The sequence below is a fragment of the Homo sapiens genome, chromosome 17 (assembly GCF_000001405.40).
Source record: "Homo sapiens chromosome 17, GRCh38.p14 Primary Assembly".
NCBI lineage: Eukaryota > Metazoa > Chordata > Mammalia > Primates > Hominidae > Homo > Homo sapiens.
Window position 1 is genome coordinate 61409487 of NC_000017.11, and position 27992 is coordinate 61437478.

At 47.9% G+C, this 27992-nt stretch overlaps 1 long non-coding RNA gene across 1 annotated transcript, besides 13 other annotated features; it reads left to right on the forward strand.

Annotated features, from left to right (window-relative positions):
• Nucleotides 2-61: a silencer, noted in NCBI's record as "silent region_8796". NCBI's record gives its function as "represses an Ori minimal core promoter by ATAC-STARR-seq in GM12878 lymphoblastoid cells {active_cell/tissue: GM12878}" and the evidence as "EXISTENCE:reporter gene assay evidence [ECO:0000049][PMID:35858748]".
• Nucleotides 72-121: a silencer, noted in NCBI's record as "silent region_8797". NCBI's record gives its function as "represses an Ori minimal core promoter by ATAC-STARR-seq in GM12878 lymphoblastoid cells {active_cell/tissue: GM12878}" and the evidence as "EXISTENCE:reporter gene assay evidence [ECO:0000049][PMID:35858748]".
• Nucleotides 132-281: a silencer, noted in NCBI's record as "silent region_8798". NCBI's record gives its function as "represses an Ori minimal core promoter by ATAC-STARR-seq in GM12878 lymphoblastoid cells {active_cell/tissue: GM12878}" and the evidence as "EXISTENCE:reporter gene assay evidence [ECO:0000049][PMID:35858748]".
• Nucleotides 980-1562: an enhancer, noted in NCBI's record as "H3K4me1 hESC enhancer chr17:59487827-59488409 (GRCh37/hg19 assembly coordinates)". NCBI's record gives its function as "activates a minimal SCP1, AML or CMV promoter by ChIP-STARR-seq in primed H9 embryonic stem cells {active_cell/tissue: H9 hESC(primed)}" and the evidence as "EXISTENCE:reporter gene assay evidence [ECO:0000049][PMID:30033119]".
• Nucleotides 980-1611: a biological region, named in NCBI's record as "H3K4me1 hESC enhancer GRCh37_chr17:59487827-59488409".
• Nucleotides 1442-1611: a silencer, noted in NCBI's record as "silent region_8799". NCBI's record gives its function as "represses an Ori minimal core promoter by ATAC-STARR-seq in GM12878 lymphoblastoid cells {active_cell/tissue: GM12878}" and the evidence as "EXISTENCE:reporter gene assay evidence [ECO:0000049][PMID:35858748]".
• LINC02875 (long intergenic non-protein coding RNA 2875) lies at nt 2265-3794 on the forward strand. Its single transcript, NR_160788.1, has one exon. It is a non-coding gene; the product is annotated as a long intergenic non-protein coding RNA 2875 (long non-coding RNA).
• Nucleotides 3132-3191: a silencer, noted in NCBI's record as "silent region_8800". NCBI's record gives its function as "represses an Ori minimal core promoter by ATAC-STARR-seq in GM12878 lymphoblastoid cells {active_cell/tissue: GM12878}" and the evidence as "EXISTENCE:reporter gene assay evidence [ECO:0000049][PMID:35858748]".
• Nucleotides 3212-3271: a silencer, noted in NCBI's record as "silent region_8801". NCBI's record gives its function as "represses an Ori minimal core promoter by ATAC-STARR-seq in GM12878 lymphoblastoid cells {active_cell/tissue: GM12878}" and the evidence as "EXISTENCE:reporter gene assay evidence [ECO:0000049][PMID:35858748]".
• Nucleotides 7250-7797: an enhancer, noted in NCBI's record as "H3K4me1 hESC enhancer chr17:59494097-59494644 (GRCh37/hg19 assembly coordinates)". NCBI's record gives its function as "activates a minimal SCP1, AML or CMV promoter by ChIP-STARR-seq in naive H9 embryonic stem cells {active_cell/tissue: H9 hESC(naive)}" and the evidence as "EXISTENCE:reporter gene assay evidence [ECO:0000049][PMID:30033119]".
• Nucleotides 16582-16876: an enhancer, noted in NCBI's record as "tiled region #1503; HepG2 Activating DNase unmatched - State 8:EnhW". NCBI's record gives its function as "activates a minimal TATA promoter and a strong SV40 promoter by Sharpr-MPRA in HepG2 cells {active_cell/tissue: HepG2}" and the evidence as "EXISTENCE:reporter gene assay evidence [ECO:0000049][PMID:27701403]".
• Nucleotides 16582-17169: a biological region, named in NCBI's record as "Sharpr-MPRA regulatory region 1503".
• Nucleotides 16670-17169: an enhancer, noted in NCBI's record as "H3K4me1 hESC enhancer chr17:59503517-59504016 (GRCh37/hg19 assembly coordinates)". NCBI's record gives its function as "activates a minimal SCP1, AML or CMV promoter by ChIP-STARR-seq in primed H9 embryonic stem cells {active_cell/tissue: H9 hESC(primed)}" and the evidence as "EXISTENCE:reporter gene assay evidence [ECO:0000049][PMID:30033119]".
• Nucleotides 17666-18865: an enhancer, noted in NCBI's record as "MED14-independent group 3 enhancer chr17:59504513-59505712 (GRCh37/hg19 assembly coordinates)". NCBI's record gives its function as "activates an origin of replication core promoter dependent on BRD2, BRD4, P300/CBP and CDK7 cofactors, and independent of MED14, by STARR-seq in HCT116 cells {active_cell/tissue: HCT116}" and the evidence as "EXISTENCE:reporter gene assay evidence [ECO:0000049][PMID:35650434]".

Consider the following 27992-nt stretch of genomic DNA (forward strand, 5'->3'; position numbering starts at 1 on the left):
TGTGGGTCGCGCGGGGCTGGGGCGCTGCACGCGCGCAAGGAGGGACGAGAGGCGGGGACAAAAGGCTGCGCGCCCCTCGCCCGGCGGCAGCTGCACCCCGGGGACGGCAGGGCGGCACGGCGGCAGGGCGGCTGGGGCGCTGGCGGAGCCGCGAGGCCGGGCGGCGCCGGCGCGGGACGCGGGGTGCGTCCCAGGCCGGGGCTGGACTCCCCCTGCCGGCCGCTCCCGCAGCTCCGCGCAACGGGCCTGGGCACCCACCCGGGCCGGGAGGAGAGCAGCCGAGCGGCCTGGACTCCTGGCTTCTGACTCCCTTTCCGGGAAACCACACTGGAAACCCATCTCCTTTCAATGCTTCTGGGTGGGTGGGCTGGGAGGATGGGTGTTCCTTGTCCAACCTCTCCCTTCGGAGGAGGGGTTTGGCTGTGTCCCACCCCCGTACTCCCCGCCAAATATCGCTGAGCCTAGAATTCTTTCCCCTCTCTCTGCCTCCTGAACCTCAAAGACAAACATTTCCTCCGCGTCAGGGCTGTTGGCTAGAGTGGCAAAATCTGGACTAAAAGGTCTTACTTTAACTCATCTATCTAAATCCCTCTTGGGAGAGTGGAGAGTGGGGTCAGTGGGCTATTTCCATTCCTGCCTCAGTTTCCCCTGTATAATAATGGGCTTGGCTGGGGTCTCTCCGGGGTCCAGCTGTGTCAGTCTCCATTAGGCTGGTCCTTCCCCGAGACCCACTCCTGCAAGGACAGCTGCCTCCCACCCCGCGCCGGTGAGCTCCCCCTCCTTGCCCAGCTAGCAGGTGTCTCCAGCCCCCACTTCTAGCAGTGGGAGCTGGGCGGGCACTCCTTTAGCCCTGGGTCTGGTCGGTCACCGAGCACGCCACCTCCTTCCCAGTTCTCTCCTCTTTAAGCCTTGGGGACCCTGAACGCCCTGCCCCAACAGGCTGCCCACCTTGGGCACTGCACAGGGTGGGGCTTGGGGAGGGTGCTGGCTTCCAAAACACCAGGGACGTTGAGATGGAGGAACGGTGATGGTGAAGGTGGAATGGACAGTTGGGCCCCCAGACTCCCAGGACGCCTTTGTGGGCCGATACATTTGCAAGGAGCGAGAGAGAGAGAACCAGGCCCGCCTCTTCAGGATGGTGCTGCCCCCAGGCCACGCCGAATGCGGCTGGAGCAGGGAGGGGACTCAGCCAGTGCACGAGTGGGAGGTTGCAGTAGAACGTATCCCAACCCCAGAGGGTGGGTTCTGGCTTCCCTGCCTCAGACCTGCGGGCAGGTCCGGGAACCCGACAGGGACAGAGAAGCCCGTTTTCCAGCCTAAATAGAAGCTCGTGGGCAGCGCGTTTGCTGGAGGTCGCTTTGGGCTGAAACGCCTCTCATACTCCTAGAGGAGCGGCGCGTTTGCGTCCCGCGGCTTCTCACTTTCAGCAGGACATTAGGAGGGAGACGAGAGTCGGCTGCGCGCCCGCGGCGGCCTACGTACAGGGCTGCGGACACCAGGGGGCAGCACCGACTTAGGGTCGCGGGAGGGGTGCGGGTGCGGGCATGGGCGCGGGGGAGGCGGGTGCCTGCGAAGGCCGGGCGGGGCGGCCTAGTCGCGGCCGTTTTTAGGCCGCGTCGTTGCTGCAGCAACCCGGGTGGGGTGGGGTGGGACTCCAGGGCCTCGAGATCCCCCACACCACTTTCGCCGCCACCTCCCGCCGCACATGTCCCCTCCGAGTCGCCCACCCGGCGCTCCGCGGGGCCCCAGCTGGTAGCCTGAGTGCGACTGCGGGAACCCGCGGCCGGCGGCTGGGCCTTGTCCCAGACAAAGGCTAGGCCACTCCCATGTCCAATTAAGCCACCCTCCTCCCCGGCCTCCCAGCCCTCATTGTCCCCGGGGTCGCCAATTAGCCTAGGCGCCCGGCGTACCCGCCGCTCCGGTGCCGCAAGGCCTCCTTAACCCTTCAGGGCCTGGCCCGGGGTCCTTGGACGGCAGAGCCGCCGGCACACGCGTGGCAGGAGGGCCAGTGCTGGGACGATGGCGATACCTGCTGGCGGCCTAGCCTGTCGCCTCGGGCTCTCGCGTGTGGGGCGTGTGAGGTCTAAGAGGGAATTGTGCGTGTCGGTGTGGGGTGGCGCGTGCGATTCCCGGAGGAACTCGGAGATGGAGGGTGTGAGTGCAGGGGCTCCGAGAGACCCCTAGCGGCTAAGCCGCCCGGATCCCAAGGCCCAGGGGACCTCATTTCCTCTCGGGTTAATCGGAATCTTCCGAGCCCTCAAGCCCTTCCTCCTCCACTCCCCCGCCGCTGCTGTGGAGAACCGGAGCCACCGGTATGGCCTGGCCCTGCCCTCCCGAAGGCCGCAGCTCCCGGGCCCGCCTCCCCAGCTGACCGCGAACTCCTGCGTGGGGTGCTCCTGGGGCGGGAGGGGCGCGCTCAGCCTCGCTCTCCCCGGGACTCTCACGCTCAAGCGCCCCGGCTTGAGGCCGGGACCCCCTATTTCCCGGTTATGGGACGGCCCCTTGAGGGACAGCCTCTACGAGCCCTGGATTTATACCCCGAGCCTGCCTTCCTCCGCTCTGGGAAGGACCCAAAATCCAGTCCCGCTTCCTCCCCCTCCTTCGCTGTCCTTGGCCCCGAGGTGCGGAGCACCGGCGGTCAGGCGGGATCCCGCAGGAGGCCGAGCGCTCCCTGCTCGCAGGACAGGGCGGCAGCGGAGGGAGCCCCCGCCCTCTTGGGAGGAAGCCCGAGCTCCGGGTCTCCTGGGCACCCTCCCGGGAGCGCCTTCGGGGTGGAGGCTGGTTGCCGGGCGCTGAACGTGTCCGAGCACGCCCGGGGCGGTTTTGCACTTGGACTTCCTTTTGGGCTCTCCGGAGGCGCATATCTGTTCCTCCTATTGGATGGGGCCGGGGACCCCAAACCCACTCCGGAAGCACCGATTTCCAGCGCTGACGGCCGCGCCTGGTTTCCCAGCGAGTCCTCTTGGCAGCTCCCGCAGCTCCCCGCCGGGAGCACGAGTGGGAGCGAACCCAGAGCCCGCCCAGGCCTCGGGCCTCGGCAACTCCTCACAGGTCCACGAGATGGCGCTGCAGGCCAGGGCCCGGGCCGCGGCCTCACAGCCCGCCTCGGGCGAGAGCGGGAGATAGACTGCGGACCCCGGCAAGCGGGGCACGGAGGCACAGCCACCGACACAGGCAGAGCCGGGTCCGGAGCCCGGCACAGGCCGCCGAGGGACCGAGGGACTCCGGGGCTGCGGACACACTGAGCGGAGGGCTTGAGGCTCGGGGTGGGGCCTTCTCCCCTGCTGCCAGAACCGCCCGGCAGCGCCAGCTCGGCGACCTTCCAGGCTGCTGCAGACCCCAGCTTGTCCTCTTCTGCGCGCCCGCGGGGCTGGGCCCTCGCGTTCTCTCTGCGGGAAGTGAGCCGCCGGCCTCCGGCCTCCTGGGCCCCTCCGAAGGGGGCTGTGGCTGGCATCCGCAGCGCGCGGGGCGCACGGCCCTAGGAGCGCGGGGCCCACTCGACGGTGAGGACTTACGGGCGGGATAGGGGAAGGATCGGCGGGGATCCAGCGCTCCTCCAGCGGAGAGGGCCCCCTCGGCTCCGACCCGCCCTCCTCACCACCCTCATCCGGCTCTTCAGGGCGGGGTCTTCAGGGTCGAGGGCAGGATGTGCCCTGTGGAGCTGCTCACCTAAGTTCCTGCCTCCATAGGGGAGGCTTTGGGCTGCGTTATTCCAGCGGGAGGTGGTGGGGACTGGGGAGGGCCCAGGGGTCAGCCTGAGAATCTCGCCCTTGGATTAAAAGCCACCAATGCTCTGGGTCAAGTCTCAATGGGAGGCTGGGGATGTAAGACCCGTTGGCTGGGGAATGCCAGAGTTGGAGGGGGTGGGGCTTAGAAGCCTGTTTCCAGCTGACCTTTTATGTCCCCAGATGAGCTCTGGCACCCTCAGAGATTAACCCTACACACGTTTCCTAAGGGCACACGGCTAGAAAGCAGCCCAGTTAACACCAGTCGAGGGTCATTTCCACTGCAATACAGTCACCGGCTGGGTGATGGGACCCAGGCCAGATGTCGTCCCTGCACTAGGCTCTCAGCTCTTTTCTCTTTCAAAGTACAGTGTAGCAGAGAATAGGACCAAATCTTTGGTGATTTAATAATTATCTACATGCTCATCTATGGCTGAAGCAGCTGCTTGGTAGGAAAACTGGACAGGAGATAGATAGGTACAAGGTCGAACTCTGCCTCTAGAGCTGTGAGTGCTCTTTGAAAATGTGACTTTATTCTCTGGGCTGCAGAAGCCTCATCTGCAAAATAAGTAGTTTGGACTAAAATCCAGTTGATCTGCGAATGGCCAGTTGACCTGGGTCCAGTTTCCCCCCCGTCCCGCCCCCAGCCTCAACTGCTTCAGAGAAGAGCCATGTTCCCATTTAATGCTTGAGGAACCTGAGCCAGAGGGATAGGTGGAGTCACAGACCTTGAGGACCTTGGCCAAGATTCTTGGGGTGGGGGACTGGGTTGGTGGCCTGGATGAATTCCCAATTAGGAAATTACATTCTAAGTCCCGGCTGCCTCCATTCCCTGTGGGGTGCGATTGTCAGTCACAGCTTGGCCTTCTACCTCGAGCAAGCTGCTTTTGGAGAGATGCAGACTAGTGGGTTGCGGGCGGGGGGGCGGGGGTGACTTTGGTGCCCAGCACTACAATTTGTTGACTGTGTGTGACTTCTCTCCAAAGAGAGACCCCAAAGAGAGAAAGCGATACCAATGAAGGCCATTCAGGCACCCATGTTTAAGGGGGTCCCCCAGGCTAATTTCTTACTTGCGAGGAAGCCTTCATGGCAGTCAATGCGCTTTCACATGTGGCCTCTCCCCGACCCTCACTGGCCGGGTGGAGACTATGAGTCCTCGTTTCACAGACATGACATTGGGGTTCAGAGAAATGAAGTGAGGTGCCCAAGGCCATCCAGTAAATAAAGGACGGAGCTCTTTCACAATCCCTTGGGCCTGGCCCTTGGAAACTTTCGCTGATGAAGTGATGATGGGTGAGAGTCAGGCTTGCAGCAGGAAAAGGGCAAACGGGGCAGGGGAGGGAGTGCCCGGATGTCCTGGCCAGGAGGTGTGTCCGTGGGAGAAGCAGCCTGGCTCAGAGCCCAAGTCCAGCAGGCCCGGGGGAGGGTGGCCTCATGGCTCCAGTCAGCCCAGCTGGGCCTGCAAGGACCCCTGGTCGGGCAGGGGCTTCTCAGTGTAAAACCCTAACAGGGGCGTTGAGAGGATTACCCGAGAGGGGGCTGCATCCTGTGCTTAGCTCAGGGCATGGCTCATGTTTGCTCTCAATATTATTTATTTCTCTCCCAAAGAGAACAAGCAGGATGTCCTCTGGCTCCATGGTGCCTGCTCCTCAGCCCGACAGGAGCAGCTGTGGAACAGCCACTGTGTGCTTAATAAACATGCAGACATTTGATTGAATTCTCAGCACGGGGTGGCTGGTATGATTATCTCCATTTTACAGAGGACAAAATGGCCCAAGGTCATACAGCGTCAAAGAAGCAGGTCACAGGGCCACACCAGGCTCTGGCCGACCCCAGGCCTGTGTCCTTTCCTGGAGCCTGGCGTTCCTGCTCCACACGCCTGGGCTTCAAAGTCCCCCTGGCATTTGGCTCAGCCCTGTGGCAGGCTGTCCTGGGACTGGTTTACATTTAGCCCTGGACTGGCTGGTCAGTTCCTTCATCCAGCTCCCACTTTGGGTCTTATTTATTTCCTTCTTGGGGGGCTGTCCAACACTTCCATGCTTTGCCTGCCCATAACTGTCCCCGTTTGCCCATGACAGTTCTGGTTTGACTATTGGCATCCTGAGTTCTGGGAGACCCCTCAGGTCTGAGCAAGTTACCCAATAGGTCACCTTGCCATCACCACACACATACCCCTACACTGGGCCAGGAGACCCAGCAATGAGTGAAACAGACACCAGCACCCCCATTGAGGGAGCCAATGATCTGGTAGAAGATAGAGACATTCAAGGAATATATCCCTTCCCAAGAGAAGACACGGCAGTGCATGGGGTGGGGTGCGAAAAGGCTTAGCCCCAGCAAACTGGGGGCAGAGAGGAGCCGCAGAGCCTCAGAGAGGCTGGGGAGCTGGCAACTGGCCTGGTTTCCCAAGGAAACTACCCCACCAAGCATCTTCATATGGGCATGTCTTTGTGTGTTCGTGTGTGTCTGTGTGTGGTAGGTGCATGTGTATGTGCATAACACATGGCAGGAGTGCCGAAAGCCCTTGCTGGATGAGTGAATGAAGTGCACCTGGTCCCTCCAGGATAGCCCCCCCACCCCCAGGTCCTGGGCCAGAGGCCCCTCCTCCAAGTACACTTGAGTACCCTGTGGAGAGCTCCAGAGGGCTTCCGGTCTCCCCATCCAGGCCTCCTCTGTCTCCTGGGGAACTGAGGCCCAGGGAGTGTGTGTGTCTTGCCTGAGGACTTGCCTCTGCAGGAGAAAGTTACAGGCCATCCACAGACACTCCCAGCCCTCAAACCCTGCTCTCCAGCTGTGCCAGTGATTCTCTGCTCTCTAAGGGTCTGGAAACTTCTGGACTCTGGAGCAACAACCTTGTTCCCCAAGGCCAGGGCAGACCTCTCTATCTGAGTCCCTTGGGGAAGCTCCTAGCATGTTTTCCCCCACAATCTTTCTTGTGGCACAGACAGCCTTCCTGAAATGCAGCTGAGATGAAGTCACTGCCCTGGTTAAAGCCTCCCAAAGCCTTCCCTTGCTCTTGGGGTCAAGCCCAGCCTCCTTAGCCTGGCACTGGGGCCTGTGTGAGTCCTGCCTACTCGCCCCCCTCCCCAGGACTCCATCCCCACTGCCCACCTCTAGGCTAATCTTGCTGGCCTTATCTTGGCCTCTGCATATGCACATGCTTTTTCCTGGGCTTGGAGTGCTCTTCCTGCCTTCCTCCGAAAAACTCAGCCCACTAGCTCCTTCTCCAGGGAACTCCTCTGCCTTCTTCCTCCTGAGTTGGGTGCCCACGCACGCCTTGTTTCGTGTTGGTAGTCAACGAATGTATGGACTTGGGCAAGTTACTCCTCCATCACCGCTGCAAAGTGGGGATACCAGCACCTGCTCATGGTGTTTCACAGTGGGGCCGGCCAGGAGCCTGGACCAGTGAGTGATGGTTCCCGTCCCTTTGGGGGACCGTAAGGGCGGCTGAGGATGGGGCCTGGGGGCGCTCTGCGAGTGGGGACATTCCCCTCAGCCCAGCGCGGCGGCCAGGGTTGGGCCTGCCCCCTTCCCCTCCTGGAGGCCAGGCGCGGGCCGAGGAGACCCTGCCTGAATGTGCCCTAAACCTGGGGGGTTGAGACTAGAGGGGTGCTCGACAGGCCTGCGTGCTGGGTGTCTTCAGATGAAGGGCGACGAAATCCTGAGGGCAATGAGCCTCCGTGCGCACGCGCGCTGGTGACACCTCCTCCCTCTCCCAGGGAAGCGCGGCCAGGGGAGGGGCGTTTCTTGCCGCAGGACGGTTGCTGGTGACCCGGCCGGATTACTGTCATCTGTGGACTGCCTGCGCTGTGCGGGCAGTGGCTCCCTCCTACCACTAGGTGGGGATCTGGAGTCGTTCAAACCAGGAGTCCGGGGCTTGGGTTCAGGCCTGGAGCCCCTCGCCCTCCTGCCGCCAGCCAGGGTTTCCCAGCCTGCCTGACTGCCGCCTCCCGGGCACTGGGCCCGCGCTCTGTGCCTCCACTCTCATTTCTAGCTAGGTCCTGCTGCCAGAGAATAACATTGAGGCAAATGAATGAGAACACCGACTGTGCAGCCCGAGGGGCCTGGGTTCAAATCCCAGCTGCACCTTTGGTTCTGGGGATTTGGCTCGTTGGGCCTCCACTTTCCTCATCTCTAAAATAGACTCGTCTACTCATTCTGCAAAGGGCAGGAGGAAATGTGGCTGCCCTGATCGCCACCCAGAGTGGGGGGAATGGACAGTGTTCTGTCGTCTGATCCCTCACATAGGACAGCTAACCTGGACAGCACCTGTGTTCCAAGACTTCCTCATGCTCTTGTCTCACCGATAGAAACTTACCTGTTCCAGGGCTCCCTCCCTGGGGACCTTGCTGGGAGAGAGGGGCCCATCTGACTTAATGCACTGCCTTTCCAGGTGCTGTGCTTGCAGCTTCCATCTGAGCCAGAGTGGGGGACCCATCTGGCCTGGGTCCCAGGGGCACCATTGCAGAGGCGCAGTTGTCCCCACCCCACCCCCCCATGCCCATCACACAAGGGCCCTGCCTCTTCTTCCTCCGTCAGGCTCTGGGTCAAGGCTGAGGGATAATTTCCCTTCTCCCCCATTCACAGGCAGGAAAACTGAGGTTCAGAGAACCCAGGACAGGTTCTATCTGTGGGGAAAAGGGAAGGTTTGGCCCAGGGAAAGGGAACATGGAGGTTGGGGTTGTTCCTTCTAAGTCACCAGTCTTGGTCTTGGTCACGTTGGTTCAGGTGTCCCCTTCTCCCATGCCTCGTTGATCTTTCCCCTGACATAGGAGGGATTTGTATGACAGTCCCCATCTGTTCAGACACCGGAACCTGCCGCGCCCAGAGGGAGCTGCCCTCCCTGACTCTCACCCCTTTGGGAGCCAGAGGTCTCTTCCCCAGGGTGGAAAGACAGAGGTTAAGAAGGGGTTAACTCTTCTTGCCTTCACATCACGACAACAAGTATGTGTTGAGCAATGGCTGCAGTGTCATGTGCTGCGCATCCTCCCTCTTTCTCTCACGTGCTCTGGACTCCTTGCCATTTTTTCTTTCTTTTTAAAAATTGAGGCCGGGCACGGTGGCTCATGCCTGTAATCCCAGCACTTTGGGAGGCCGAGGCAGGAGGATCACCTGAGGTCAGGAATTCGAGACCAGCCTGACCAATATGATGAAACCCTGTCTCTACTAAAAATACAAAAATTAGCCGGGCATGGTGGCATGTGCATGTAATCCCAGCTACTCGGGGGGCTGAGGCAGGAGAATCACTTTAAGCCAGGAGTCGGAGGTTGCAGTGAGCCGAGATTGCACCATTGCACTCCAGCCTGGGCAACTAGAGTGAAACTCTGTCTCAAAAAAAAATTATTTGCATAAAATGTACTATCAAAGGGTACAATTCACTGGTTTTTTACTATATTTACAAGATTGCACAACAATCACCACTGTCACTCCCCAGCCCTTGACAACCACCAATCCACTCTCTGTCTCTGTGGATTTGCCCATTCTGGACATTTTATATCAATGGAATCATATACTCTGTGTTTTTTTTTGTGACTGGCTTCTTCCACTTAGCCTAATATTTTCAAGGCTTACCCATGTTGTAGCACATATTGATACTTTCATTCTTTGTACAGCTGAATCATATTCCATTACCTGGTGATACCATGTTTTATTTATTCACCATCGGTTGATGGGCATTTGGGTTGTTTCCACATTTGACTATTATGAATAATGCTGCTATGAACACTGATGTACAAGTCTTTGTGTGAACATATGTTTTCATTTCTCTTGGGTATGTCTAGGAGTGGAATTGCTGGATCAAATAATAACTCTAACATTTTTCCCCACCAGCATCCAAAGCAGTTAATGCTAACTTTTTGAGGAGCCACCAAACTGTTTATCAAAGTGCCTGTACTATGGTACCCTCCCACCTGCAATTCCTTGCCATTTCTTGAATGTACCAGACACACCCCTCCTTGGTCCCTGACTTCTTTCTTGGAGAGGCCATCGTTGGCCATCTGATGTAAAACAGGAGCCTACTTTCACCCCCTTCACTCCCTTTCTCCCTTCCTCCCTTCCTCTGTTTGGTTGTTGATACTGGACGCGCTGAGACTATTTTACTTACTTATTTTGTTTATTGCTTTCCCTCACTAGAATGGAGCTTTGTTCATTGTTCTATCATTAGTCCTAGAATATACCTGGCACATGTAGGTGTTCAATCAATGTTTATTGAGTAACATGAGTTAGTCAAGAAATGTAGGGTGCCATGCTGGGTACACAAGGCATAGCATGATAAGAACTCATGGAAATGGACCAAGTGCTACCGAGGCCACAGGGAGGTAAACCAAGTGTCACTGAGGCCTCCTGCCTGAACATTTCTTCACCTATTGAGTCGGCCATGGGGGTTCAGGACCACCCATGCTCTCACCCTCATCAGACCAACAGAGAAGAAGAACTGGGCCTCCTCCCTCAAACTAGGCAAGGGTTCGGGAAACAGGTTAGTTAGCCACACAGTCATCACGACAGTTCTGTCTACTGGCTGTAGACAGTGCAATCGCTGAGTGAAAGGATTTGAAGGGTGGCAATTGGAGAGGGTATTCAAGTGTGTCAGTGCCCTGCGTCAGCCCTGTCTGTCCCCATCCAGGTCTCAGTCTGCCTTGGAGACCCAGATGTGAGAGCTGCTCAGCAGGGAAAGATGTTGGCCTTTTCCCATGCCAGGAGTGAGGATCACAGTCCTGGCTGTCCAGCCAACCCAGTGGGTCTTTTATGGCTTCACCTCAGCTGGCCTCTGGACATATTAGTCAGGAATCCTTCAGTCGTACGGACAGAAATCCAACTCAAGCTGAAGAAAAAGGGCAGTTTATTGGCAAGCACAGGACCTGGGAAGCACAGGGGAAGGGGAGCTGGCCTTCAGAATGCTCGCTCTCTCTGTCTCTCTCTCTCTGCTTTCTCTCTCGTTTCTTTTCTCTGTGTGTTGGCATCACTCTCTCCTACCACAGATGGGCTTCTTCATGTGGCAGGGGGCTTGGCTGCAGGCAGCTGTGGGTTACAGAAATCCAGCTTAGTGGCTTAAAAGGAAAGGAAATGGCTCTGCTGTTCTACTTAGAACAATCACAGGGAAACACTCGGATTGGCCCCCTGGGATCATATGCCCACCTCCCTCCATACAAACAACCCATTCTCCTTTGCCACTATTGTCAGTTGTGGCTACACCAGAAAACCAGGCTTGCTGGTCTCTCTCTCTCTCAAAATGCGTGCTGACTGGCAAGTACTTTGCAATCTCTCTCTCTCTCTTTTTTTTTTCTTTGAGACAGGCTCTGTCTCACTCTGTCATTCAGACTGGAGTGCAGTGGCATGATCACAGCTCATCACAGCCTCAACCTCCTGGGCTCAGGTGATCCTCCGACCTCAGCCTCCCAAGTAGCTGGGACTACAGGCACATGCCACTATGCCCAGCTATTTTTTTTTTTTTTAATTTTGTAGAGACTGGACTTTCGCCATATTTCCTAGGCTAGCCTCGAACTCTTTGGCTTAAGCAGTCTTCCTGCCTGGGCCTCCCAAAGTGCTGGGATTACAGCCATGAGCCACCGCACCTGGCCTCATTTCTCTTAATCCACACAACTGCTCTGGAGAAATATATACTGGTCAGGGCTCTTTTAGCTCCTACTGACAAAAGCCCAACTCAAATGAGCTTAAGCCAAAAAGGGAATGTATTACTCTACATAACTGATAAAAGCAGGAGTAGACTTCAGGCATAGCTGGTTCCAGGGAGTCAAATAAGCCTGGGCTCTTATTGGCTCCAGCTCTTAGCCAGACTTCCCTCTCTATTGGCTCAGCTCTCAGGTACATCCTACCCAAGCAGCAAGAAAAAATGACTAGGGCAGCCTAGGCTCAGATGGTCTTTAGAGCCGTTATTCCCAGGGGAAAAGGGAGACTGCTTTCTGTGCATAGAGCAAACTATCTCGGGGGACTGGTTGGCTCCCATGAGGGTCCAATATCTACTCAGGGAACAGGACAAAGAAAACCATATTTGGCCAGGTCAGGTCATGTGCCCACTCCTGCAGCAAGAGGATGAGACAGAGCTGTGAGGAGTAATGCCATTGGAGTAGTGACAGGGCAGACTGATTGGATGTGGCCAGCTATAGGACTATCCCATTGCACAGATGAGGCTTGGAGAGATAAGGTAGCTTCCAGTACCGTAGAGCTAGAGACAGTCAGGATTCAAACGCACATCTGTCATCTCTTCCCAGAAAACCACCCTGCCTCCTTTTAAAGTGCTGAGTTAAAATATCCCTTGAAGAAGTAGATTCCTGTAGACAGCCATATCATTCCCAGTACCCCTTGCAGCAACTGCCATAGAGAGGATTGCTTGGGAGGTGGGGTCGGCCGCACTCTCAGACAAGATCCTTTACCAGCTCTCCGTGGTTGAAAGGGTCTCTGGTCATTGACTCCAAGTGTCATACTAAATCATCAATCCAAACAAGGTTTGATTTTTGGCAAGGGTGCCAAGATCATTCAGTGTGGGAAGGATAGTCTTTTCAACAAATGGTGTGGGAAAAACTGGATGTCCACATGCAAAAGAATGAAGTTGAACCCTTACCTTACATGATATACAAAATTAACCCCCAAATGCATCAAAGACCTAAACTTAAGAGCGAAAGCTATAAAACTCTTAGAAGAAATCACAGCGGGGAATCTTCATGACCTTGAATTTGGCAATGGTTTAAAAAATGTGACTCTAAAAGCATAGATGACAAAAGAAAAAACAGATAAATTGAACTTCACAAAATTAAATTACTTTTGTGCACCCAAACACACTATCAAGAAAGTAGAAATGCAACTCACAGAACGGAAAAAAGGATTTCTAAATAATATATCTGACAAGAATTTAATATCAAAATATATAATTTCTACAACTTAACAACAAAAAGAAAAATAACTCAATTACAAAATGGGCAAAGGACCTCGAATAGACACTTTTTCCAAAGAGGATATACAAGTGACCAGTAAGAACATGAAAAGATGCTCAACATCATTAGTCATTAAGGAACTGCAAATCAAAACCACGAGATATCACTCCACACTTACCAGGATGCCTAGAATTTAAAGAGAGAGTGAGCCAGGAATGGCAGCGCACAACTGTCATCCAATCTACTTGGGAGGCTGAGGAGGGAAAATCACTTAAGCCCAGGATTTATAATCTAGCCTGGGCAAAATAGTGAGACCACCATCTGTACTAGAAAGAAGAAAGAAAGAGAAAGAGAGAGAGAGAGAGGGAGGGAGGGAAGAAGGATGGAGGGAAGAGGGAAAGGGAGGGAAGAGAAGGGAAGGAGGAAAGAAAGAAAGTCCAAACAAATTGGCAAGGATGTGAAGGAAAAAAAAATTTTTTTTTGAGACAAGGTCTCACTCTGTCGCCCAGGCAGGAGGGCAGTGGCGCAATTATACCTTACTACAGCCATAATCTCCTGGACTCAAGTGACTCTCTGCTTCAGCCTCCCAGGTAGCTGGCTTTATAGGTGTGCACTACCACTCCTGGCTAATTTTTGATTTTTTGTAGACAAGGTCTCACTATGTTGCCCAGGCTGATCTCAAACTCCTGAACTCAAGTGATCCTCTTGCCTCAGCCTTGCAACATGCTGGGGTTACAGGTATGATCCACCACACCAGCCCTGCATGTGGAGCAGTTGGAACTCACGTACATTCTGTTGAAAATGTACAATGGTGAAGTTTCTGTGGAAAACAGTATGGTGGTTCTCCAAAAAGCCAAACATAGAGTTACCACGTGGTTCAGCAATTGCACTCTTAGGTGTACACCCAAAGGCATTGAAAACAGACACTCAGGCAGATACTTGTACACCAGTGTATATTGCAGCATTATCCACAGTAGCTGAAAGTTGAATACAATCTCAATGTCCATTAACAGATGAATGGATAAACAAAATGTGGTATATACATTCAATGGAATATCATTCAGCCATACAAATAAGTGAAGTTCTGATACATGCTATTTGCTCTATATTGTATATACATGCTATAAAATATAGAAAAAACTTGAAATCATGATGCTAAAGTGAAATAAGCTAGACACAAAGGGACAAATATTGTATGATTGTGCTTTGCTGAAATATCTACAATAGGAAAAGTCACAGAAACAGAAAGGAGAGTAGAGGTTACCAGGGGCTGGGAGGAGAGGGTAATGAGGAGTTATTGCTTAATGAGTACAGAGTTTCCATTTGGAATGATAAGAAGTTTCAGAAATAGATTGTGGTGATAGTTACATAACAATGTGAATGTACTTAATGCCACTAAACTGTACACCTAAAATGGTTTAAATGGGAAATTTTATGTTGTATATGTATATTTTGTCCCAACATTAAAAATATGGGGGCTGGGCATCGTGGCTCACACCTGTAATCCCAGCACTTTGGGAGGCTGAGGTGGACAGATGACTTGAGGTCAGGCGTTTGAGACCAGCCTGGCCAATATGGCAAAACCCCATCTCTACTATAGATACAAAACTAGCCAGGCGTAGTGGCGGGTGCCTGTAATCTCAGCTACCCGGGAGGCTGAGGCAGGAGAATCGCTTGAACCCAGGAGGCAGAGGTTGCAGTGAGCAGCTGCACTGTACTCCAGCCTGGGTGACAGAGTGAAATAAATAAAATATAAAAAATAAAAATAAATCATAAAATTAAAATTAAAATAGGGCATGAACGTAACAAATGTACCCCTCTGGTTGGGGATGTTGAAAATGGGGGAGGCTGTGCATGTGTGGGGTACAGAGGGAATATGGGAAACCTCTTATGAATGAACAAATTTGTATGAATAGACAAACACCTTTCTCTCGATTTGGCAGTCAAGCGAAAACTGCTCTAAAAAATTTAAAAAGGATATGCATCTTGCACATAGAGAGGTCTACTTGACAATTTGTTTTCCAACAAATATATATTGAGCAAGCATTCAATGCAGTCGTCTGGTTGGCACTGGGAGGTCCATGACACAGTTGTGCCCTCAGGGGGCCTGGGGCTGCAGTGGAGCTTGCCAAGTTCTCAAAGAGAGAGGGGAGCTGGATGAGAAGGACATGTTGAGAGCAAAGAACATGAATTTGCCTCCTCAGTGTTTCCAAACTGCCCAGGGCGTTGATTAAAAGCATTAACGTCATCCAAGTTCCATCCTGACCTACTGAGTCTGAACGTGCTTGGCTGGATCTCCATTCCCAGGTGGGAATCCAAGCCAGAGGACTTGAACTAGGAGGGAGTGAGAAGGGCCGCGCAGCTTCCTCCCTGCCCATGGCCAGTGAGGATTCACCAACTCCATTCTCTCCATTCCTAGAGCCTCATGCCCTGGCTGCCAGAAGTTGCCCTGTCTAAAGCTCTCCTTCAGGAGAAGCTCAGACTTTGTGTCCATCTTGGGAGAAACAGAAAACAGCTCTCCCGCCCTCTCCGTCTCACCATCTTTCAGAAGCGTAAAGGCTTATTAAAAGCTTCTGCAATTTGGGCAAAGTACTGATCCTTTGCGTAGATGGTATTTCTGCTCCTCTGGCCTGAAAACTCAACGCTAACCCAGTACCCCTGGCGAACACATCCACCATGTTGAGAATGGTGGGTGTGGGGGTGTGTGGGAGAGGTTCTGCCCTCTGCTCACTCAGGCCTCAGGAGCCGAGGTCACCATGCACCTGCTACTCTTTGGGCATCCATTTTGTTTTCATGGGCCAAGCTCTGGAACGGGGAAGGCATATGTGGACAGTGGGCAGAGACATTGAGAGACGGTCTGTGTCTCAGCCAGAGATCACCTGGCACCTCGGGTTCAGCCACTAGACCTCTTCTTAAGGCTGGCTGGCACTGACTTAGGCATCCCCAGCATGCCAGGCCTTTGGGCAGAGGGCAAGAGTTCAGGCCTCAGCTGTTCTTCCCAACCTAGAAGAGGGTAGCTGTCTTCTATTTGAGCATATGCTTTGGGATCGTATTTTAAAATCCTAAATCAGGACAGCAGACCTGATAAATAATTTGTGAATTGATCGATGTGTAAAGTCCTTTAAAAGCATCCAAGTCAAATCCGTTACATATTAAATACATTTCTTGAAAAGAGTGCAGCTAAAGTGACTCTGTCCTGGAAATGTGAGGCCAGGGGTTCTTAAACAGGGGCAATTTTGGACCCCATGGGACATCTGGCAATATGTTTGGAGACATATTTGGTTTTCACAACCTGTCACCAGCATCTAGTGGGTAGAGGCCAGTGATGCTGCTAACTATCCTACAATGCACAGGGCAGCCCCCATAATTTGGAATTCTCAGGCCCCAAATGTCAGTAGTGTCGAGTTTGGGAAACCTTGCTCTCCGCTCTCTGGGGCTGTGCCTGTGCACCCCAGGGTGTCCGCCCAGCCTTGGTTTTTTCCTCGTACTTCATGTCTACTTTGGTACTGTCTGTGACACTATTGTCAGAGGGGAGAGGCTTGGAACCCCTCAGCTCTCTGCTGCTTCCTTTTTTGTTGGCAGATGCAGGGAGATGACTACCTTTGAAGAGGTGACCCAGATACCAAGGCAAGCCTGGCAAGGGGCAGGGGGTGTCTTGAGTAAGCATCTCCCACTGGGGAGATGAAAGCAGGGACCGGATGCAGCAAGAGGGTGGGAAGGAGCACTGGATTTAGAGGGAGAGGCGCAGGCTCCAACTCTGTCTGACTCCGCCCCTAACCTGGCCATTTAGCCTCTGTGCCTCAGAGGCATTGTCCGTTGGGCACAGGTTCTAAACAGGGTTATTGTGAGGGTTAGGGAGAGGAAGGATGGGACAGGGTTGTGGAAAGCACTAAGGCTGGGCAGCAGCAACTTGTGGAGTCCCTGCTGTGTATGCTGACTTAGGAGGGCCCCAGCTGGGCTGGCAGGTTGGGAGAGGGTAGGGCTGGGCCAAGGGAAGAGTGTGGAACGCTGGGAGTGCGTGCTCTCTAGTTACAGTGATGTGCAGACAACTGGTGTGCCTGGAGCACAGAAAAGGACTGGCTGGCAAGATAGTGCCGGGCAGCATGTGGAGCCTCCCATTTGGGGGCGCTGCTTTCCTTTGTAGCTCTCAGACAGAGGGAGCAGGAGGCCTACATGAGCCTGGACGTGCACCCAGGCCTCTTGCCTGGAGGTTAGCGCAGGGAATGATGTGCTGGAGCAGGTGGGCTCCGTGTATTTGGCCAAAAGCAGGTTGAGGTTGGGCACCATGGCTCAAGCCTGTAATCCCAACACTTTGGGAGGCTGAGGTGGGAAGATCACTTGAGCCCAGGAGTTTGAGTCCAGCCTGGGCAATATAGCAAGACCCCATTTCTAAAAATTTTTTTTAATTAGCTGGGTGTGGTGGCATGCATCTGTAGTCCCAGCCTGGAATGGCTGAGATAGAAGGATCACTTGAGCCTAGGAGGTCGAGGTTGCAGTGAGCCAAGGCCATGCCACTGCACTCCAGCCTGGGCAACAGAGTGAGATGCCATTAAAAAAAAAAAAAGATAAATTAGATTTGAAAGTCCTAAAAGCATCCGTGTGTGTGTGTGCGTGTGTGTGTGTATAATTTTTAATTTAAAAAAAATTTTTTGTTTTTTTGCTTTTTGTTGTAATTTTTTTTGAGACGACGGAGTCTCGCTGTCACCCAGACTGGAGTGCAGTGGCACAATCTCGGCTCAATGCCACCTCCAGCTCCTGGGTTCAGCCTCCTGAGTAGCTGGGACTACAAGTGTGTAATTTTTTTAGACGAGATATTGGAGTACAGAGGTCACATTTGCTGCCCAGAATTTAGAAACAGACACTCACTGACTAGGAGTGTGACCCTTGGGCTGTTATTCAGCTTTTCTCTACTTCAGTTTTCTCATTTACAGAAGGTGAGTCATAGTGATGGGGCCAAAGGAATGCAGGAGCCCACTGAAAGAGCTCCTGTGATCCTTCTATCTCAGCCATTCCAGGCTGGGACTACAGATGCATGCCACCACACCCAGCTAATTAAAAAAAAAAATTTTAGAAATGCGGTCTTGCTATATTGCCCAGGCTGGACTCAAACTCCTGGGCTCAAGTGATCTTCCCACCTCAGCCTCCCAGTGGCCAAAGCTAGAACAATTTGAGCAACAAAATACATAACGTACTACTGAATTATAACCCAACATATAACACAAAGATCCAGGAGTTATACTGAGACAAATAAATGATTGAGTGAAATAAGTGAATCAATGGGAAAGAATAGACAAATCTGTAAAGAAGAACTCCAAATATTGATGTAGATACTCCATGCTTAAGAAGGTGGAGTGTAACTCCCCACTCCTGAAGCGTGGGCTGTGCCAGTGATTTCCTTCCAGCTACTACAGTATGGAAAGGGACAAAAGGAAACCTTTCGCAGTGGAAAGCTGGCAAACACTACCTCACTCTGGTGACCAAGGCTAGCATCATTAGTGAGAAGTCATAACATGTCTTCAATATGATTGATGAGAATGACACCCCACTTCTCTGGCCTTCCTCCCCCAAACCCATAACTTCAGCCTAATCATAAGAAAAATACCAAACAAACCCCAGTCAAGGAACATTCCACCAAATGCCTGACAGCACTTCCTAAAACTGTTCAGGACATCAAACACAAGGAATGTCTGAGAAACTGGCATAGCCATGATTAGCCTATGGTGACATGATAACAAAATGCAATGTGGTCTCCTGGATGGAATCCTAGAACAGAAAAAGGACATTCAGTAAAAAAAGCTAAGCAAGTCTGAAAGAAGTGTGGATGTTAGTTGTGACAAATTGGTATGGTTTGGCTGTGTCCCCACCCAAATCTCATCTTGAATTCCCACGTGTTGTGGGAGGGATCAGGTGGAGGTAATTGAATCATGGGGGCAGTTTTCTCCATACTGTTCTCGTGATAATGAGCAAATCTCACGAGATCTGATGGTTTTATAAGCTTCTGGCATTTCCCCTGCTTATACTCATTCTCTCTCCTGCTGCCCTGTGAAGAGGTGCCTTCCACCAAGATTGTAAGTCTCCTGAGGCCTTCCCAGCTATGCAGAACTGTGAGTCAATTAAACCTCTCTTCTTTATAAATTACCCAGTCTCAGATATTTCTTCATAGCAGTGTGAGAATGAACTAGTACACAAACATACTATATTAATGTAAGATGTTAACAATAGAAGAAACTGGGTGTGAGGCAGAATATGGGAAGTCTATGTGCTGTTTTTGCAACTTTTCTATAAATCTATTCTAAAAATGAGTTTCTTTTTAAAAGTAAGTAATAGTGTCACATTATGTTGCTGCATTCAATAAGTGATTTATATCAAGCATTTGGTGCACTGGTATATGGTGTTTAATGTTAGCTATTATTTATTACTATTGTTCTTATTTCTACTTTTCTTATTGAGTATATGAGTATACATTTTTCTTATTAAAATAGCAGTGTATACTCATTACAGAAAAATTTACAAATGAGCCAAAGAAGAACATCCACGACCCTACACTCTCAGAGAGAACCACTGGTCACACCTTGCTGTGGATCCCTCCCAAGGTGTCATTAATTTTTATAAAGCTTGGATCACTCCATACATACAGTTCAGTAAATGGCCATAATTTATTTAAGTAACACATAAATTATTTGATATTTAGGTTGTTCTAACTCTTTGCTCTTACAAATAGGCAAGAGCACAAGTAATGGACTAAGCATTAATTAGGAAGATAAAAGAAAACCCTGAAAAATTATAAAAACTGGACACTAATGCTGAAATAAGCACGGAGGATGCTCAGTAGTTAATCAAAATGACCTTATCTGAAAATCCAATGGCCGACTTTTCTTTTCTAGATCTGTTTTATTTCATAATTTAAAAAAATTTTTTAAAGTAAAGAGGGAAAGATTACCTGGCAAAATTTGTTTTTAGAGCTTAAAAACTTCATTTATTTATGATGATGAGAATTTTTTTAAAAAGCTAAATTTGCTCAATGGATTACTATAGGCATTTTATCCCTACCTGTGCATTCTTTTTAAAAAGTATTTATTTATTTGTCTATTTTGAGAGCATCATTTTATCCTTTTTATTGTATATTTTAAGGTGTACCATTTGATTCGATATACATTGTGAAATAATCACTGCCATAAAGACAACTGACATATCTGTCACCTCACATAGTTACCTTTTTCATGTGCATGGTGAGAAAACTTGGGATCTGCCTTCTTAGAAAATTTCAAGCATATAGTACAGTATTGTTACCTATAGTCATCAGGCTTTATATTAGATCTCCAGAACTCATTCATCTTGCATAACTGAAACTTTGCACCCTTTGACCAACATCGTGTAATCTTTCCCTTCCCCCAGCCCCTGGTAACTATCATTCTCTTCTTTGTTTCTAAGAGTTTGACTATTTTAGGTTCCACACACAAGTGAGATCTTACAGATTTGTCTTTCTGTGTCTGGCCTATTTCACTTAGCATAATGTCCTTCAGGTCTATCCATGTTGTTGCAAATGACAAGATTTTATTTTCTTTTTTAAGGTGGGATAACATTTCATTGTATATGTATGCACCACATTTTCTTTATTCATTTTTTTCATTTTTTTATTTTTTATTTTTTTTAAGACTGAGTTTCATTCTATCACCCAGGCTGGAGTGCAGTGGTACAATCTCAGCTCACTGCAACCTCTGCCTCCCGAGTTCAAGTGATTCTCCTGCCTCAGCCTCCTGAGTAGCTAGGATTATAGGCGTCCACCACCATGCCCAGCTAATTTTTTATTTTTAGTAGAGATGGGATTTCACCATGTTGGCTAGGCTGGTCTCGAACTCCTGACTTTAAGTGATCCACTGGCCTCGGCCTCCCAAAGTGCTGGGATTACAGGAGTGAACCACCGCGCATGGCCTTATTCATTCATTGTTGATGGACATTTAGGTTATTTTCATATCGTTGCTATTTTGAATAATGCTGCAATGAAAATAGGAGTGCAAGTAACTTTTCAAGACCTTGATTTCAATTCCTCTGGACAAGCACCTAGAAGTGGGATTGCTGGATTATATGGTACTTCTATTTTAATTTTTTGAGAAACTTTCATACTATTTTCCATAATGGCCATACCAACTTATATCCCCACCAACAGTGTACATAAGCGTTCCCTTTTCTCCACACCCTCACCAACACTTTTTTTTTTTTAATACAAGTTGAGTGTCCCTTATCTGAAGGGATTTTTTTTTTTTTTTTTTTTTTTTTGAGATAGAGTCTCACTCTGTTGCCCAGGCTGGAGTGCAGTGGTACGATCTTGGCTCACTGCAAACTCCACCTCCCAGGTTCAAGCAATTATCTGCCTCAGCCTCCCAAGTAGCTGGGATTACAGGCACCCACCACCATGCCTGGCTAATTTTTGTATTTTTAGTAGAGACGGGGTTTCACCATGTTGGCCAGGCTAGTCTTGAACTCCTGACTTCGTGATCCACCTGCCCTGGCCTCCCAAAGCGCTGGGATTACAGGTGTGAGCCACCATGCCCGGCCGCGCATTTTGGATTTTTTTTAAAAGCTTGGAATATTTGCATATATGTAATGAGGTATCTTGGGAATGGAACCCAAGTCTAAACACACAATTCATTTATGTTTTATATATACCTTATACATATAGCCTGAAGGTAATTTTATACAATGTTTTAAATAATTTTGTGCATGAAACAAAGTTTGTGTACACTGAAACATCAGAAAGCAAAAGTGTCACGATCTCTGCCACCAATGTGGATAATCTGTGGTTGTTTGGCATCATCATCATGCCTGAATCTGAATGTATATGCTACTAATTAAACAATCATTTTTTTACATTTATTCACAGATAAGTACTTAACAGTAAAAAATATGACTTACCATTTTTTTTTTTGAGACAGGGTCTTGCTACTGTGTCGCCCAGGTTGAAAGGCAGTAGTGGGAACATGGCTCCATGCAGCCTTGACCTCGTGGGCTCAAGCAATCCTCCCGCCTCAGCCTCCCAAGTAGCTGAGATTACAGGCACACAACACCATGCCCTGCTAATTTTTTTAATTTATTTCTTATTTTTGTAGAGACAGAGTCTCAGCATGTTGCCCAGGCCTGTCTCGAACTCCTGGCTCAAGCGATCCTCCTGCTTTGGCCTCCCAAAGTTCTGGGATTAGAGGCATGAGCCGCCACACCCAGCCAACAACAGATTTTGTCTTAGAAGTGTCTTTTTGATTTTATAAATGAACACGATTTCTTGTTCTGTTGTGAATGTATGCTGCTTTAGTCCTTCAATAAGCCCATCACACATTTTCACCATGCCATCTATAGACATTTTTTCTGCAAAAAATGTTAACAATGTCATCTTCATTGCCACTATTATCATGATCACTTTGGTTTGGAGCCATGTGTCTATTTCATCATCAGCCAATGAGTAAACAACTGGAGCCTTATTATCAATGTCAAAAAGCCCTTTGCTATCTACTTCTTCTAACTTACTGGCAGACTCTGAAGGTATATTTTTTGCATATGAAAGAAAGCCATATATCATTTTGTTCTCACTTGACACCAGTTCTTTCTCACTTGATACACAATTCTCCAAAGTCACCACCTTGTTCATCATCATCACTGAACATAGTCAAAGGTCAGAGGTCGCACCAGGCATGCACAACTATGTCTTTAGTCACTGTGTTCTAAGCGCTGGCAACAGTATATGTGGCGTCCTTCATGTCACCTCCTTTTGAAAACCTTCTGCACTCATGCCTCTGTTCACTGCTGCTAGCATTCTGTTCAATAAAGTGATTTTACATCTACTCTTCATTGACCTAAGGATACCCTAGTCACATTGAATTAATGTAGTCACATCTGGGGGAAAGTACATGGCATAAACATTATTTTTTGTGAGAATTTCAGCTGGAGAATGAGCAGAACAGTAATCAAGGAATAACAAAGTCTTACATCATCACGCATTCCAGCTTCCCTGCAGTGAGTACTAGCCACTGGTACAAAATGTTTGTGAAACCAATCATAAAAGGTGTCCCTGATGATCTGTGCCTTTTTGTTAGCATAATAGTAGACTGGTAAGAGATCTCCTCCTTGATAACAGTGAGGATGCAAGCTCTTGCCAATCACAGCAAGTTTATACTTATAGATGCTTGCTACATTAACACATCCCAGCAGGGTTACTCTATCCTTGGCATCTTTTTTTTTTTTTTTTTTTTTTTAAGACGGAGTCTCGCTCTGTTGCCCAGGCTGGAGTGCAATGGCGCAATTCTGGTTCACTGCCAACCTCTGCCACCCAGCTTCCAGCGATTCTCGTGCCTCAGCCTCCCCAGTAGCATGCGCCACCACGTCCTACTTTTTTTTTTTTTTTTTTGTATTTTTAGTAGAGATGCAGTTTCACCATGTCGGCCAGGCTGTTCTCAAACTCCTGACCTCAGGTGATCTGCCTGCCTTGGCCTCCCAAAGCGCTGGGATTACAGGCATGAGCCACTGTGCCCGGCCTATCACTGGCATCCTTAATTCCTGTCTCATCAAGTGTAGTCGGTGTCTTTCTGGGGAAATAATGCCAAAACAGTGATATTTCATCAGCATTATAGACTAGTTCTGGTGTCAGATTTTTGTTAGTGATGACTCGGGCAAACTTGTCAATGAATTTCTCTGCTACTTCATGATCAGCAGATGCTTTATCACCACAAATCTTTAAAAATTTAATGCTGTCTTTTCCTAAATTTCTGAAACCAGCCTGTTGAACATTCATAGTTCCCTTCAATTTTCAGTTCACTGTGATAGATCTTTGCTTGTTTCATGATCAGCAACCAGTATTTACTGCAACACTTTTGAACCCATTCTTTCAATACATGATCGAGATCTTCATTATTAACTTTATGCACTGTTTTTCTTTTTGTTATTGTTGGTTTTTTTTTGTTTTGAGACAGTGTCTATGTCATCCAGGCTGGAATGCAGTAGCTTAATCTCAGCTCACTGCAACCTCCACCTCTCCAGCCCAGGCGATCCTACCACTTCAGCCTCCTGAGTAGCTGGGACTACAGACACGCGTTACCACACCCAGCTAATTTTTTGGTTTTTTGTTTCTTTGTTTTTCAGACAGAGTCTCGCTCTGTCGCCCGGGCTGGAGTGCGGTGGTGCAATCTTGGCTCAATGCAACTTTCACCTCCCAGGTTCAAGTGATTTGCGTGCCTCAGCCTCCCGAGTAGCTAGGATTATAGGCACATGCCACCACACCCAGCTTATTTTTGTGTTTTTAGTAGAGATGGGGTTTCACCATGTTGGCCAGGCTGGTCTCGAACTCCTGAGCTCTAGTGATCCACCCGCCTTGGCCTCCCAAACTGCTGGGATTACAGGAATGAGCCACCATGCCTGACTGATTTTTAAATTTTTTTTTGTAGAGATGGGGTTTTGCCATGTGGTCCAGGCTGGTCTTGAACTCCTGAGCTCTTGTAATCTGCCTGCCCTAGCCTCCCAAAGTGCTGGGATTGTAGGCATGAGCCACTGCACCCAGCCTGTTTTTCTATTTTTGTTTTTTTTTTTATTAACTTCTGTTCATTGCTTTCAGCATAGAACTTCAACAGTTTATCCTTCTGTTTCTTCAGGTCATATGTGGTGGTCATTCCAACACCATACTCTTCTGTAAGACATTTCATACTTACACTGCTGTCCAGCTTCTCCAATAGCTTGATTTTCTGTGCTATAGATAAACATAACTGTGTCCTCTTTTTCTCTCCTGTGTTGCCCACAGGAGTATCTGTAGGCCTTTCTGACATTTTCAATAATATCTTTACACCACAGAGCAGAGAATAAGCCAAAAGAAATACCACAGTAAGTAATGCACATAGGTATTGGCCCCATGTGGGGCATTGTGGAGAACCTGAAATTGGTGCATCTGGCCTCCACACCATTTTAAAAATGGGTTTTTAAATGGGTTATGCCATTTTATAACCCTTGGTGGATGTGCTTACATGCGAAAATCTGGACATGTACAGAAAAGACATGTCACAGCTGAAGGGGGATGGGGGTGGCTTCCCCATTGGGGATGCTGAATGAACTGTGTGTTGTGTGCCTGCATTTTCATTATGGCCAATCATATGAGGTTAGATGTAGAATTTTCCACTTGTGGTGACATGTTAATGCTCAAAAACTTTCAGGTTTTGAAGCATTTCAGGTTTTGGATTTTTAGAGTAGGGATGCTCAACTTGTAATGACCATCCTGACAGGTGTGAGATGATATCTCATTGTGGCTTTGTCTTGCATTTCTCTGATGATTAGTGAGCACCTTTTTTATATACCTGTTGGCCATTTATATGTCTTCTTTGGAAAAATGTCTATTCAGGTCCTTGGTCCATTTCTAATCGGGTTATTTGTGTTTTTATTGTTGTTGTTTTTGTTTTGCTATTGAGTTGTGTGAGTTCCTTATATATTTTGAGTATTAACCTTTTATCAGATATGTGGTTTGCAAATATATTCTTCCATCCCATAGGTTGCCTTTTCAGTTTGTTGATTGTTTCCTTTACTATGCAGAAGCTTTTTAGGTTGATGGAGTCCCACTTGGTTTGTTTTTGCTTTTGTTGCCTGTGCTTTTGGTGTCATATCCAAAAGTTTTAGCTATGCCCCATGTCAAGGAGCTTTTCTCTTATATTTTCTTCTAAGAGTTTTACATTTTCAGATCTTATGTTTAAGTCTTTAATGCATTTTGAGTTAATTTTTGTATATGGTTTAAGAGTGGGATCCAGTTTTATTCTTTTGCAGGTGGATATCCAGTTTTCCCTGCAACATTTATTGAAGAGTCTATCCTTTTCCCCCATTGTGTATTCTTGGTGTCCTTGTGAAAGATTAGTTGACTATAAATGCATGGGTGTATTTTTGGGCTTCCTATTGTGTTTTATTTGTCATTGTCTGTTTGTGTGCCTGTACCATATTTCTTTGATTACCATAGTTTTGTAATATAGTCTGAAATCAAAGAGTGTGATTCCTCCAGCTTTGTTCTTCTTTCTCAAAATTGCTTTGGCAATTTGGGGTCTTTGGTGGTTCCATATGAACTTTAGGATTGTTTTTTCTATTTCTGTGAAAAATGCCATTGGAATTTTATAGGAACTTCATTGAATCAGCAGACTGTTTTGGAGTATGGACAATTTAACAATATTAATTCTTCTAATCCATGTATATGGTATATCTTTTCATTTATTTGTATCTTCTTCAATTTTTTTCATCAATGTTTTCTAGTTTTCAGGGTACAGATCTTTCACCTCCTTGGTTAATTTATTCCTAAGTATTTTATTTTTTTGATGCTATTGTAAATGAGACCATTTTATTAATTTCTTCTCTGGGTAGTTTGTTGTTGGTGCATAGAAATGCAACTGTATTTTATATGTTGATTTTTTATCCTGCAACTTTAATGAAGATGTGTATTAGTTCTAACAGTATTTAGGGTTTTCTATATATAAGATCATATAATCTGCAAACATACAATTTAACATCTTTCTTTTTGAATTTCTTTTATCTATTCTTCTTGCCTAATTGCTTTGGCAAACACTTCCAGTACTATTTTGAATAGAAGTGGTGAGAGTGGGCACACTTGTGTTGTTCCTGTTCTTTCTTTTTATTATTATTATTATACTTTAAGTTTTAGGGTACATGTGCACAACGTGCTGTTCCTGTCCTTAAAGGAACAGTTTTCAGATTTTCTTTGTTGAATATGATGTTAGATGTGGGCTGTCATATATGACTTTTATTATGTTGAGGTACATTCCTCTATAACTCATTTGTTGAGAGTTTTTAATCATGAAAGGATATTGAATTTTGTCAGATGTTTTTTCTGCATATATTAAAATGATCATATATTTTTTATCCTTTGTTTGTTAATGTGGTGTACTTCACTTATTGTTTTGTATATGTCAAACTGTCCTTGCATCCCAGGGATAAATTCCACTTGATCATAGTGTATAATCCTTTTAATGTGCTATTGAATTCAGCTTGCTAGTATTTCATTGAATGCTGTTTGTTTATTGATTTTCTGTCTGGATATCTATCCAAGATTGAATGTAGCATATTGGAGTCTTCTATTACTATTATATTGCTGTCTGTTTGTCCTTTCAGTTCTATTGTTATTTGCTTTGTATATTTAGGTGTTCCAAAGTTGGGTGTATGTATACTCACAATTGTAATACCTTCTTAGTGAACTGACCCTTTTATCATTCATTATATGATGACCTTCTTTGACTATTGTGACAGGTTTTGACTTAAAGTCCTTTGTGCCTAATATAAGTATAGCTACCTCTGCTCTCTTTTGGCTTCCATTTGAGTGCAATAGCCTTTTCCACCCCTTTACTTTCAGCCTGTGTGTGTCTTAAAGCTAAAGTGAGTCTCCTGTAGGCAGCATATAGCAGGATCTTGTTTTTTAGTCATTCAGCTATTCTGTCTTTTGATTGGTGAAATTAAGTCATTTATATGTAAGGTAATTATTGATAGGTAAGGACTTACTATTGCCATCTAGTTGTTTTCTGTTTTGCAATTCATTTGCTCTTTTCTCTATTGTTGTCTTCCTTTGTGATTTAATAATTTTTTATAGTATTTTGTTTTGATTCCTTTCTCTTTGTATTTTGTGTATCTCCTACAGAATTTTTTCTTTGTGATTACCATGGGATTACAGAAAACATTCTATTGTTATAATAGACTATTTTAACCTGATAAAAACTTAACTTTGATCACATACAAAAACTTTAACTTCTTCTCCCCTACATTTAATATTATTAATATTACTGTTTACATTTTTATAATGTGCATTCATTAGTAAATTATTGCAGCTATAGTCATTTTTAATACTTTTGTCTTTAAACTTTTACACTGGTGGTAAAAGCAATTTACATACTACCATTACAGAATTAGACTATTCTGAATCTGACTATACATTTACCTTTGCTAGCAAGTTTTATACTTTCATATGTTTCTTATGTTTAGTGTCCTTTCATTCCTCCTCCTTCTTCTTCTTTTCCTTCTTCCTTCCTCCCTCTCCCTCTCCTTCTTCCTTCTCTCTTCTTCTTCTTCTTTCCAGTGCTGGCTGATATCCTTTCATTTCAACCTGAAGAACTTTCTTTAGTACTTCTTGTAAGTAGTAATGAACTCCCTCAGCTGGAAAAGTATCTCTCCTTCCTTTCTTAAAAATAGATTTCCTATGTAGAATATTCTTGGTTAGCAGTTGTTTTTGTTGTTTCAGCACTTTGAATGTGCTAGAACATCAACTCATAATGCAAATGTTGTTTTGTTTCATGTTGTCCCATAAGTTACACAGGCCTTTTTCATCCTTTCTTCTTATTGTTGCTCTGATTGGATAATTTCAAATGAT